General features: G+C 42.1%; 1 protein-coding gene and 1 pseudogene across 1 annotated transcript in view; one reads left to right on the top strand and one right to left on the bottom strand.

The window, feature by feature from the left end:
• Positions 1-14,902, bottom strand: part of ARMCX4 (armadillo repeat containing X-linked 4) — a 117,711-nt gene that overhangs the window by 90,686 nt on the left and 12,123 nt on the right. The window contains exon 3 of the transcript NR_028407.3: positions 1,148-1,251. The gene's annotated coding sequence lies outside the window, so the exon portion shown is untranslated. The remainder of the gene's footprint in view (positions 1-1,147; positions 1,252-14,902) is intronic.
• PPIAP90 (peptidylprolyl isomerase A pseudogene 90) lies at positions 1,200-1,596 on the top strand (annotated as a pseudogene).

Below are 14,902 nucleotides of genomic sequence, written 5' to 3'. Positions count from 1 at the left end.
TATCCATAGTGGGGGGAGCTTTGACTGCCAGCCCAGTACTCTACAAATAATGTCAGAAAATCCAGGATAGCAAATATACCATTGGCTGGGGTTGGAGATACTTTGGCATGAGAATGCCAAGAATAGTAATATTTCAAATGATAATGATGTAGAAATGTTATCTTTTGTGTCCTTCCTCTTATTTCAAGATCTTACTTATTATGGTTAAAATACATCATGTCTTACTTTCTAAAATTTTAACTCCTAAATTTAATCTCAAATAAAGCTGTGTACATATACACATCTGCATTTTACCCACAACTTTTTGACAGCAATGTTATTCCAAGAGCTTGGAGGAAGGGGAAGGAGACAGCCAGGGCAAGCAGTATGTCCTTCTGTTGGTAGTCATAGTGATTATAGTCAATAATAATTATTGTATATTTGAAATTTGCTAAGAGAGTAGATCTTAAGTGCCTTTACCACACACACACACACAAAATGGCAACTATGTGAGGTGATGAGGTTGTAATTAACTTGATTCTGGTAAATATTTCACACTGTATACATATATCAAATCATCACAGCGTATACCTTCAATATACACAATATTTATTTGTCACTTATACCTTAATAAAGCTGCAGATAACAGAGAAATTATTCTGGCACTTATTGAAATGGTAAGGAAGACTTTATTCAAGACTATTACAAGAGGGGAGAGAGATTGCACTTACTCCAAATTCAGCAAAGATAGCTATAGATGTATTGCCAATGAGAAGAATGAAAAGGTCAGTGGATAGAGAATTAACAAAAGGAGATATCAAGGGTAGGGGGATTCTTGCTAAAATTGTCTAATAGGATTCTTGGTAGAGGGAAGCCAAGGACTTAGACATCAAGGGTGGGGAATAAGAAACTTGATCAGATATCAAAGGTAATTAGATATAAAAGGTGCGGAGATTCTCTCTAAAATAACTTAGCAGGATTCTTGCCTAATGGCAGACCAAGGTCATGCCCTGGTTAAGCAGAATGCTCAGATGAGCCCAATTAAAGTTTGGTCAAGGAAGTTGTCTTAGTCTGTATGTGCTGTTATAACAAAATACTTAAGATTGGGCTGCTTTGCAGATGCCGCTGACACACAGAGACCTCTGCCACCAGCCACAGTCAAACTCACCATGTTCTTCAACATCGCCACCCATGGTGAGCCCTTGGGCTGCATCTTCTAACTGTTTGTAGACAAAGTTCCAAAGACAGCAGAAAATTTTCATGCTCTGAGCACTGGAGAGAAATAATTTAGTTATAAGGGTTCCTGCTTTCACAGAATTATCCCAGAGTTTATGTGTCAGGGTGGTGACTTCACATGCCTTAATAGTTGATGGCAATTCCAACTATGGGGAGAAATTTGATGATGAGAACTTCATCCTGAAGCATACAGGTCCTGGCATCTTGTTCATGGAAAATGCTGGACCCAACGCAAATGGTTCCTAGTTTTTCATCTGCACTGCCAAGATTGAGTGGTTGGATGGCAACCATGTGATCTTTGGCAAGGGGAAACAGGGCATGAATATCGTGGAAGCCATGGAGCACTTTGGGAGCAGGAATGGCAAGACCGACAAGAACTATTGCGGACTGTAGATAACTCTAATAAATGTGACTTGTGTTTTAACCACCAGATCATTCCTTCTGTAGCTCAGAAGAGCACTCCAACTCATTTGCTCACAGTATCCTCTAATCTGGGTACTCCCACTGCAGTTTTTTGGGTTCCATATTTTCCTTATTCCTTCCATGTCTAGCTGTATTGCAGTTAAGTTTATGATTATGAAATAAAAACTAAATAACAAAAATACTTAGACTGCATAATTTATAAAGAATAAAAACTTATTTCTCATAGTTCTGGAGGCTGTGAAGTCCGAAATCATGGTGCTGGTAGGATTGGCGTCTGATGAGGGCCGCCCTCTGCTTCCAAGATGGCACCTTGTTGCTGCATTGTCCAGAGAGGAGGAGCACTGTGTCTTCACATGATGGAAGGGACAGAAGGGCAAGAGAGTGCTCCCTTCAACCTTGAGCCTTGTTATAAGGGTGCTAATTCCATTTATGAGGGCAGAGCCCTCATGACTTAAAAGATGTGGCCTCCAAAAGGCTACACCTTTTAATACTGTTTAATTGGGGATTATATTTCTTTTTTTTTTTTTTTTTTTTGAGACGGAGTCTCACTCTGTCACCCAGGCTGAAGTGCAGTGGCACGATCTCGGCTCACTGCAAGCTCTGCCTCCTGGGTTCATGCCATTCTCCTGCCTCAGCCTCCAAAGTAGCTGGAACTATAGGTGCCTGCCACCACGCCCTTCTGATTTTTTGTATTTTAATAGAGACAGAGTTTCACCGAGTTAGCCAGGATGGTCTCGATCTCCTGACCTCGTGATCCGCCCGCCTCAGCCTCCCAAAGTGCTGGGATTACAGGCATGAGCCACCACACCCGGCCAATTGGGGATTATATTTCAACACAAATTTTGGAGGGGTCACCATCATCCAAACCATAGCAGTGTCTTTGCCAGGGGACAGTGGCCTGGAGACAGGATGATAGAGGTAGAGAGAGGTCTGGGAAGCCTTTACAGGGGTGGAAAACTGGGGGCAAGGATGGGTTGCTGTCTCTGATGGGCCCTCCCAACAGGCAGACCTGCTTTTGGTCAAGGTTGAGGCAAACCCTGTGTATTCTTAAAACATATCTCTTCTACCCTTGAGTTTCAGGAGCTTTACACAGCAGCTAAAGTCCCCCATGGTCAGGACCAAGGATGTTGGGTTTGGGTGTGCTCATGGATAAAGAAGGTGTATAAGAAAAGAGGAGGACATGTCTTGGGTGTGGCTGAGAGTCTGACTCCCAGGGAGTCATTCATTTGCTGAATCCACCAAGGTCTTTCCCAGTGGAGTCTTGTGCTGTACTAATCTGGTGACCCCTTGGACATGCCTGTTTTGCACTGACAAGACTGAGTGTGGGAGCAAGTTGTGAAAAGGATCTTATGACACTCCCAGCCTGGTATCAGGCACAGCAAGCAGATTTCATTCCATCAGCAGCTGTTTCACAATAGCTCTCGAGGCCTATCTTGGAGCATTCTTCATTTTTTTGCTGACAGCGCTAGGAATCCTCCCTGATGGGAAAGGAGCTTTATTTGTAAACACATTTGCAATGCATTTTCATATCACTTTGCTGGGTGAAGCAGAGAAGATATACCATGCTTACACATAGGATTGTTTCTGTTTTGGTTACCTCTTTTAGGGTTGGATGAAAAAATGCAGGAATAAATGAATGGGTGGATAACGGAATCCATGCATCCATCAGTCAGTAATTCCCTGCAGCAGAACCACCCTGAGCACTTGTTAAAACACAACTTATTGGGCTTTACCCCCAGAGTTTCTTATTTAGTCTGGGATGCAGGGAGTAGGGAGAAGAGCAAAGAATTTGCACCTCTAACAAGGTCCAAGTACTACTGATGTTCCTGGTCCAGGAACAATACGCTGAGAACCACTAGCACAGGCCATCAGTAGAGACCCTCTTAGGCCACGATTATTGTGACTGCAGACTTTCTGACTGATCTTGCCAACTAGTTCACGCACATAATTGAAAATGACTCAGTGTTTGGGGCGGTTGTGGGTGGCCTGCCTACTCTACCTCCCAACAAACACTCCTGGGTAGTAGTGTTAGATTTGAGAGTTAGAGCACTGGTGGTGTGTGTGTGTGTGTGTATGTATGTATATTAACATGTGTGTGCATGTGTGTGTACATGCATGCACACATCTGTACTGCTCTCCTGACAGGTACTGCTGTCCTTTGGCACACCTCTAGTGCTGACCACTGACCTTCTCCAGGCTCTCTCCTCTTTGCCTTTCATGGAATCAGGGCTTTTTCAAGGTGAAGGAGATGGTAAGTTGGCTGCTTTGCTGAGCCATTCAGCAAGCGGACCATCATGGTGAAGTAAGAGGATCGTGGGTTTGGAGCCAGGCACTCCTGGGATTTGCATGGAAATTCTGCCTCTTAGCAGTTATGTGAACTTCTAAGACTTTCAGGGCCTGTCTGAGGCTCAGCATCATTATCAGTAAAGCTGGGATTATGTCTCTACCTCACAATATTGTTGAGAGCATTAAATTAGAAACCATGGAGGAAGCACTTTACAGCATCAGGCACATAGCAGGCATTCAAAAAATGTTAGTCCCGGGGGGTGGAGCCAAGATGGCCGAATAGGAACAGCTCCAGTCTACAGCTCCCAGCGTGAGGGACGCAGAAGACAGGTGATTTCTGCATTTCCAACTGAGGTACCGGGTTCATCTCACTGAGGAGTGTCAGAAAGTGGGTGCAGGACAGTGGGTGCAGCACACCGAGCATGAGCCAAAGCAGGGCAAGGCATCGCCTCACCCGGGAAGTACAAGGGGTCAGGGAATTCCCTTTCCTAGTCAAAGAAAGGGGTGACAGACGGCACCTGGAAAATCGGGTCACTCCCACCATAATACTACGCTTTTCCAACGGTCTTAGCAAATGGCACACCAGGAGATTATATCCCGCACCTGGCTCGGAGGGTCCTACACCCACGGAGCCTCGCTAATTGCTAGCACATCAGTCTGAGATCAAACTGCAAGGTGGCAGTGAGGCTGGGGGAGGGGCGCCTGCCATTGCTGAGGCTTGAGTAGGTAAACAAAGCGGCCAGGAAGCTCCAACTAGGTGGAGCCCACCAAAGTTCAAGGAGGCCTGCCTGCCTCTGTAGATTCCACCTCTGGGGGCAGGACATAGCCAAACAAAAGGCAGCCAAAACCTCTGCAGACTTAAATGTCCCTGGCAGCTTTAAAGACAGTAGTGGTTCTCCCAGCACGCAGCTGGAGATCTGAGAACTGACAGACTGCCTCCTCAAGTGGGTCCCTGGTCCCCGAGTAGCCTAACTGGGAGGCACCCCCCCAGCAGGGGCAGACTGACACCTCACACGGCCGGGTACTCCTCTGAGATAAAACTTCCAGAGGAACGATCAGGCAGCAGCATTTGCTGTTCACCAATATCCGCTGTTCTGCAGCCTCTGCTGCTGATACCCAGGCAAACAGGGTCTGGAGTGGACCTCCAGCAAACTCCAACAGACCTGAAGCTGAGGGTCCTGTCTGTTAGAAGGAAAACTAACAAACAGAAAGGACATACACACCAAAACGCCATCTGTACGTCACCATCATCAAAGACCAAAGGTAGATAAAACCACAAAGATGGGGAAAAAACAGAGCAGAAAAACTGGAAACTCTAAAAATCAGAGCGCCTCTCCTCCTCCAAAGGAACACAGCTCCTCACCAGCAATGGAACAAAGCTGGATGGAGAATGACTTTGACGAGTTGAGAGGAGAAGGCTTCAGATGATCAAACTACTCCGAGCTAAAGGAGGAAGTTTGAACCCATGGCAAAGAAGTTAAAAACCTTGAAAAAAAATTAGACGAATGGCTAACTAGAATAACCAATGCAGAGAAGTCCTTAAAGGACCTGATGGAGCTGAAAACCAAGGCATGAGAACTACATGACGAATGCACAAGCCTCAGTAGCCAATTCGATCAACTGGAAGAAAGGGTATCAGTGATGGAAGGTCAAATGAATGAAATGAAGCGAGAAGAGAAGTTTAGAGAAAAAAGAATACAAAGAAACGAACAAAGCCTCTAAGAAATATGGGACTATGTGAAAAGACCAAATCTACATCTGATTGGTGTACCTGAAAGTGACGGGGAGAATGGAACCAAGTTGGAAAACATTCTGCAGGATATTATCCAGGAGAATTTCCCCAATCTAGCAAGGCAGGCCAACATTCAAATTCAGGAAATACAGAGAACGCCACAAAGATACTCCTCAAGAAGAGCAACTCCAAGACACATAATTGTAATTGTCAGATTCACCAAAGTTGAAATGAAGGAAAAAATGTTAAGGGCAGCCAGAGAGAAAGGGCGGGTTACCCACAAAGGGAAGCCCATCAGACTAACAGCGGATCTCTCGGCAGAAACTCTACAAGCCAGAAGAGAGTGGGGGCCAATATTCAACATTCTTAAAGAAAAGAATTTTCAACCCAGAATTTCATATCCAGCCAAACTAAGCTTCATAACTGAAGGAGAAATAAAATACTTTACAGACAAGCAAATGCTGAGAGATTCTGTCACCACTAGGCCTGCCCTAAAAGAACTCCTGAAGGAAGCACTAAACATGGAAAGGAACAACCGGTACCAGCCACTGCAAAAACATGCCAAATTGTAAAGACTATCAAGGCTAGGAAGAAACTGCATCAACTAACGAGCAAAATAACCAGCTAACATCATAATGACAGGATTAAATTCACACATAACCATATTAACTTTAAATGTAAATGGGCTAAATGCTCCAATTAAAAGATACAGACTGGCAAATTGGATAAAGAGTCAAGACCCATTAGTGTGCTGTATTCAGGAAACCCATCTCACATGCAGAGACACACATAGGCTCAAAATAAAGGGATGGAGGAAGATCTACCAAGCAAATGGAAAACAAAAAAAGGCAGGGGTTGCAATCCTAGTCTCTGATAAAACAGACTTTAAACCAACAAAGATCAAAAGAGACAAAGAAGGCCATTACATAATGGTAAAGGTATCAATTCAACAAGAAGAGCTAACTATCGTAAATATATATGCACCCAATACAGGAGCACCCAGATTCATAAAGCAAGTCCTCAGAGACCTATAAAGAGACTTAGACTCCCACACAATATAATGGGAGACTTTTTTTGGGGGGGGAACAGAATCTCGCTCTGTCACCCAGACTGGAGTGCAGTGGCGCGATCTTGGCTCACTGCAAGCTCTGCCTCCCGGGTTCACGCCATTCTCCTGCCTCAGCCTCCCAAGTAGCTGGGACTACAGGTGCCCACCACCATACCTGGCTAATTATTTTTATTTTTTAGTAGAGATTGGGTTTCACCCTGTTAGCCAGGATGGTCTCTATCTCCTGACCTCGTGATCCGCCCACTTCAGCCTCCCAAAGTGCTGGGATTACAGGCGTGAGCCACCGCACCCAGCCTGATAATGGGAGACTTTAACACCCCACTGTCAACATTAGACAGATCAACGAGACAGAAAGTTAACAAGGATATACAGGAATTGAACTCAGCTGTGCACCAAGAAGACCTAATAGACATCTACAGAACCCTCCACCCCAAATCAACAGAACATACATTCTTTTCAGCACCACACCACACCTATTCCAAAATTGACCACATACTTGGAAGTAAAGCACTCCTCAGGAAATGTAAAAGAACAGAAATTATAACAAGTTTGTTATAATGTGGTCTGTCTCTCAGACCACAGTGCAATCAAACTAGAACTCAGGATTAAGAAACTCACTCAAAACCGCTCAACTACTTGGAAACTAAACAACCTGCTCCTGAATGACTACTGGGTACATAACGAAATGAAGGCAGAAATAAAGATGTTCTTTGAAACCAATGAGAACAAAGACAGAACATATCAGCATCTCTGGGACACATTTAAAGCAGTGTGTAGAGGGAAATTTATAGCACGAAATTCCCACAAGAGAAAGCAGGAAATATCTAAAATTGACACCCTAACATCACAATTAAAAGAACTAGAGAAGCAAGAGCAAACACATTCAAAAGCTAGCAGAAGGCAAGAAATAACTAAGATCAGAGCAGAACTGAAGGAAATAGAGACACAAAAACCCTTCAAAAAAATCAATGAATCCAGGAGCTGATTTTTTGAAAAGATCAACAAAATTGATAGACTGCTAGCAAGACTAATAAAGAAAAAAAGAGAGAAGAATCAAATAGATGCAATAAAAAATGATAAAGGGGATATCACCACCGATCCCACAGAAATACAAATTACCAGCATAGAATACTATAAACACCTCTACGCAAATAAACTAGAAAATCTAGAAGAAATGGATAAACTCCTCGACACATACACCCTCCCAAGACTAAACCAGGAAGGAGTTGAATCTCTGAATAGACCAATAACAGGATCTGAAATTGAGGCAATAATTAATAGCTTACCAACCAAAAAAGGTCCAGGACCAGATGGATTCACAGCCAAATTCTGCCAGAGGTACAAGGAGGAGCTGGTACCATTCCTTCTGAAACTATTCCAATCAGTAGAAAAAGAGGGAATCCTCCCTAACTCATTTTATGAGGCCAGCATCATCTTGATACCAAAGCCTGACAGAGACACAACAAAAAAAGAGAATTTTAGACCAATATCCCTGATGAACATCCATGCAAAAATTCTCAATAAAATACTGGGAAACTGAATCCAGCAGCACATCAAAAAGCTTATCCACCATGATCAAGTGGGCTTCATCCCTGGGATGCAAGGCTGGTTCAACATACGCAAATCAATAAACGTAATCGAGCATATAAACAGAACCAAGGACAAAAACCACATGATTATCTTAATAGATGCAGAAAAGGCCTTTGACAAAATTCAACAACCCTTCATGCTAAAAACTCTCAATAAATTAGGTATTGATGGGACGTATCTCAAAATAATAAGAGCTATCTATGGCAAACCCACAGTCAATATCATACTGAATAGGCAAAAACTGGAAGCATTCCCTTTGAAAACTGGCACAAGACAGGGATGCCCTCTCTCACCACTCCTATTCAACATAGTGTTGGAAGTTCTGGCCAAGGCAATTAGGCAGGAGAAGGAAATAAAGGGTATTCAATTAGGAAAAGAGGAAGTCAAATTGTCCCTGTTTGCGGACGACATGATTGTATATCTAGAAAACCCCATCATCTCAGCCCAAAATCTCCTTAAGCTGACAGGCAACTTCAGCAAAGTCTCAGGATACAAAATCAATGTGCAAAAATCACAAGCATTCTTATACACCAATAACAGACAAACAGAGAGCCAAATCATGAGTGAACTCCCATTCACAATTGCTTCAAAGAGAATAAAATACCTAGGAATCCAACTTACAAGGGATGTGAAGGACCTCGTAAAGGAGAACTACAAACCACTGCTCAAGGAAATAAAAGAGGATACAAACAAATGGAAGAACATTCCATGCTCATGGGTAGGAAGAATCAATATCCTGAAAATGGCCATACTGCCCAAGGTAATTTATAGATTCAATGCCATCCCCATCAAGCTACCAATGACTTTCTTCACAGAATTGGAAAAAACTACTTTAAAGTTCATATGGAACCAAAAAAGAGCCTGCATTGCCAAGTCAATCCTAAGCCAAAAGAACAAAGCTGGAGGCATCACGCTACCTGACTTCAAGCGATGCTACAAGGCTACAGTAACCAAAACAGCATGGTACTGGTACCAAAACAGAGATATAGACCAATAGAACAGAACAGAACCCTCAGAAATAACGCCACATATCTACAACTATCTGATCTTTGACAAACCTGACAAAAACAAGAAATGGGGAAAGGATTCCCTATTTAATAAATGGTGCTGGGAAAACTGGCTAGCCATATGTAGAAAGCTGAAACTGGATCCCTTCCTTACACCTTACACAAAAATTAATTCAAGATGGATTAAAGACTTACATGTTAGACCTAAAACCATAAAAACCCTAGAAGAAAACCTAGGCAATACCATTCAGGACATAGGCATGGGCAAGGACTTCATGTCTAAAACACCAAAAGCAATGGCAACAAAAGCCAAAATTGACAAATGGGATCTAATTAAACTAAAGAGCTTCTGCACAGCAAAAAAAAAAAACTACCATCAGAGTGAACAGGCAACCTACAGAATGGGAGAAAATTTTTGCAATCTACTCATCTGACAAAGGGCTAACATCCAGAATCTACAATGAACTCAAACAAGTTTACAAGAAAAAAATCAAACAACCTCATCAAAAAGTGGGCGAAGGATATGAACAGACACTTCTCAAAAGAAGACATTTATGCAGCCAAAAGACACATGAAAAAATGCTCATCATCACTGGCCATCAGAGAAATGCAAATCAAAACCACAATGAGATACCATCTCACACCAGTTAGAATGGTGATCATTAAAAAGTCAGGAAACAACAGGTGCTGGAGAGGATGTGAAGAAATAGGAATACTTTTACACTGTTGGTGGGAATGTAAACTAGTTCAACCACTGTGGAAGTCAGTGTGGCGATTCCTCAGGGATCTAGAACTAGAAATACCATTTGACCCAGCAATCCCATTACTGGGTATATACCCAAAGGATTATAAAACATGCTGCTATACAGACACATGCACACGTATGTTTACTGTGGCACTATTCACAATAGCAAAGACTTGGAACCAACCCAAATGTCCAACAATGATAGACTGGATTAAGAAAATGTGGCACATATACACCATGGAATACTATGCAGCCATAAAAAATGATGAGTTCATATCCTTTGTAGGGACATGGATGAAGCTGGAAACCATCATTCTCAGCAAACTATCGCAAGGACAAAAAACCAAACGCCGCATGTTCTCACTCACAGATGGGAATTGAACAATGAGAACACATGGACACAGGAAGGGGAACATCACACACCAGGGCCTGTTGTGGGGTTAGGGGAGGGGGGAGGGATAGCATTAGGAGATATACCTAAGGTTAAATGATGAGTTAATGGGTGCAGCACACCAACATGGCACATGTATACATATGTAACTAACCAGCACGTTGTGCACATGTACCCTAAAACTTAAAGTATAATAAAAAATAAATAAATAAATAAATAAATTGAATAGAATAAAAAAAAATGTTAGTCCCTTCCCACCCTATACTCATTTTGATGTTTTTTAAGAATACTCTGACCATGGCCGGGCGCAGTGGCTCACGCCTATAATTCTAGCACTTTGGGAGGCTGAGGCAGGCGGATCACGAGGTCAGGAGTTCGAGACCAGCCTGGCCAAATGGGGAAACCCTGTCTCTACTAAAAATACAAAAAATTAGCCAGGCATAGTGGCACATGCCCCTAATCCCAGCTACTCGGGAGGCTGAGGCAGGAGAATCGCTTGGGCGGCGGAGGTTGCAATGAGCAGAGATCATGCCACTGCCCTCCAGCCTAGGCGACAGTATGAGGATCCATATCAAAAAAAAAAAAAAAAAGAATACTCTAACCAGGCACATTGCTCACACCTGTAATCCCAGCAATTTGAGAGGCCAAGGTGGGCAGATCGCTTGAGCTCAGCAGTTCAAGATCAGCCTGGGCAACATGGTGAGACCCACGTCTCTACTAAAAATACAAAAAACAGGCAGGCATGGTGGCATGTGCCTGTGGTCCCAGCTACTTGGGAGGCTGAGGTGGGAGGATTGCTTGAGCCCAGAGGACAGAGGTTGCAGTGAGCCAAGATCAAGCCATTGCACTCCAGCCTGGGCGACAGAGCCAGACCCCATCTCGGAAAAAAAAAAAAAAGTGGATAACCACCCAAGATATCTTCTTTTTAAAAATAAAAATAGAAAAGAATGTTCTAAGGCAAAATGTTTTCTGAGGTGGTTTCAAAGCCCACAGGCCCACCATGGTCTCTGCCCCAATAGTCCAAATGTGCATAAAGCAAGCAGGTTTTGCAGGAGAATAATTTTTTTTTGCATCATCATTAATCACCACTTCCAAGCCCTGTCCTGTTTTCTGTACTCAATCGATACTTCTCCACACTACGTCATTTATCAGGGAATAGTAATAATGACTGACATTTATGGAGCACATTCTATGTGCCAAGCACTGGGATTCATTTATAGACATTTTCTCATTTAATCACCACAACAACCCAGTGACTTGTTGTACCTGCAATCCACATGGATCAGATGAGGAAACAGATGTGACAGATGAGGAAACTCAGACTCAGAGAAATTAAGTACTTTTCCCAAAAATGTTTTTATGAAGACCTTCCTATTGCACAACACTGTCCTAAGTACGTGTGTGTGTGTGTATACATATACACATACAGGTATATATGTTTATATGTATGTATATATGTACATATATGTACATATGTTTATATGTAAGTATATATGTACATATATGTACATATGTTTATATGTAAGTATATATGTACATATAGGTACATATATGTATATGTGTACGTACATGTGTACATATATGTATATATGTGTGTATATATACATATGTGTACATATATGTATATATGTGCGTATATGCACATATATGTGTATGTGTGCGTGTATATACACATGTATGTATACATATGTGTATATGTGAGTATATATACAAATATGTATACATACATGTGTATACGTGCGTATGTATACACATATATGTATACATATGTGTATATATACACGTGTATGTATACATATGTGTGTATATACACGTGTATGTATACATATGTGTATATATACACATATATGTATACATGTGTGTATATATACACATATACACATATGTATACATGTGTGTATATATACACGTATATATATACGTATGTATACGTGTGTGTATATACACGTATATATACACACGTATACATATGTGTATATATACGTGTATATATACACATATGTATACATATATACACGTATATACATATATATGTATACATACATGTGTATATGTGTATATACATATATGTATACATATATACGTGTATATACACATATATATACGTATATATGTGTATATACATATATGTATACATATATATGTGTATATATACGTATATATGTATATACATGGGGTTTTTTTTGAGACAGAATCTCGCTCTGTTGCCAGGCTGGAGTGCAGGGGCAGGATCTCGGCTCACTGCAACCTCTGCCTCCCAGGTTCAAGCGATTCTCCTGCCTCAGCCTCCCGAGTAGCTAGGACTACAGGCGAGCACTACCACACCTGGCTAATTTCTGTATTTCCAGTAGAGACGGGGTTTCACCATATTGGTCAGACTAGACTTGAACTCCTGACTTCGTGATCCTACTGCCTCAGCCTCCCAAAGTGCTGGGATTACAGGCATGAGCCACCGCGCCCAGCCCTATATGGTAAATGTTTTAGAAGGCTGGTGTCTTGGAGGATGTGATTCACCCTATCCAGCAAAGCAGAACTCCCTCACATGAAACCACTATTAAGGGATAGAGAACACGGGACTCATCTTCGCTTCAGTCCATTCCAGAGGCAAGACATATAGGGTCAAGAGTGGTCATAGAGGGCTTCAAGGCTAAGTTGTCATTCAGTGAACCTGCCTACAGCCATAAAAGGGAGAATATGCAAACCTTGAAACAGATGTTTATGGGAATTTTTAAATGAAAACAGGAAAATGCGTATGTTATAATGTCAATTTTTAAAAGAGTAATTCAAGATTATATATTCAAGATTTGTTGAAAAGCTGGAGGAAAATATGCCAGAATATCAATAGTAATTTCCTCTGGCTCATTTGTTTTCATATATATCTTTTTGTACTTTCATAAATTTATAAAGAAAACACTGTTACTACATGATCAGCAAAACATACACTATTAGCAAAACTAGAAAAGAAAACAATCACTATATATGCCTTTAAGAAACATGGTGCAGGCCAGGCGTGGTGGCTCACGCCTATAATCCCAGCACTTTGGGAGGCTGAGGCGGGCAGATCACAAGGTCAGGAGATCAAGACCATCCTGGCTAACACAATGAAACCCCATCTCTATTAAAAATACAAAAAATTAGCCGGGCATGGTGGCGGGTGCCTGTAGTCCCAGCTACTCGGGAGGCTGAGGCAGGAGAATGGCATGAACCCGGAAGGCAGAGCTTGCAGGGAGCCGAGATTGTGCCACTGCACTCCAGCCTGGGCAACAGAGCGAGACTCTGTCTCAAAAAAAAAAGAAACGTGGTGCATAAACTTTTGTAATACCAAATGTGGGGCAATTTTTTAACTGCTTATCAGTGAATTAGGAAACACTGTAAACTTCTGGGAAGGAAGTGTAGAATACAATAGAGCCAAAAAATGATGCTCAAGATGGAATGCAGAAAACGTATTGAGAGCCACCTCTGTGCAAGGTGCAGTTAATCTTTAATCCATACCTAAGTCATAGTGATATGTGTCTGTTCTTGTTTTTGTTTGCCTTATCCTGGGGAGTGACACCCAACTCCTTCACTCCCCCAGGTATACTGTGTATCTTCAAAGCCCCTCTGAAATGGCAGAGTTCCACTTTGAAGTATGACCTTCCCAAGTGAACAAGCTGTTCTTACAGCTTGGGAGGAAATAAAAATGTGCCAAAAGTAGGTTTTGGATACAGAGACAAGCATGACCATCTAAGACCTAGGAGTGCAGGGAATGGAGGGCAGAAGCTGAAAGGGGAACATCTGAGCCTTAGATCCTTCGGAGTCCACCTTCAGAGAAGCCTTCCAAGATGCTGCTGCCTAGAGCTGAGAACTAGGAATCCTCCTGGCAGTTAATGAACTTCCCAGGATCCCATGAATTGGATACAATCCACACTCTGTAAATATTTATTTTCTTCCTTCTGAGACTCTATCCTCACTTCCTACCCTGACCTCAAAGCTGCTTGCTAGTAACACAGGTCCCTAGCAGGGTCATGCCTCATTTGTGGAAGATAAATAGTTCTACTCTAGCATCAACAACAACCCCTCACACAATGTCTAGCAAAGAGTCAATGCTCAACAAATATCTGTTGAATGAATGAACAAATGGATAGATGGATAGACAGAGGTTTGGTTAAAGCCTTGTCTGGAGATTATGGGCCATCAGTGTTTGATTTGCTTCTGTGGTTAGGCTGAGTCATTTTGGTTTCAAGAAGATAGTTGGTTAACAGTGACTGCAATGGGGCTAAGACAGAGAAAGGCTAGACTATTTGTCACATGCTCTTTAAATCTGAAGCAAAAAGAAATAAAATCAATGGATGGGGATAAGGGATATTTCTTCTGTCACATATTAGCTGAGTGGCGGTCTAGAAACTGGTTCTGTTTTCCACAATCAAGTTTTCTCATTCTCCAAAATCCAATAGTGTTTATTACC

This window comes from Homo sapiens, chromosome X, assembly GCF_000001405.40.
Source record: "Homo sapiens chromosome X, GRCh38.p14 Primary Assembly".
Lineage (NCBI taxonomy): Eukaryota > Metazoa > Chordata > Mammalia > Primates > Hominidae > Homo > Homo sapiens.
Note: the sequence above shows the minus strand (reverse complement) of the source record. Positions and strands in the feature narration are given on the sequence as shown.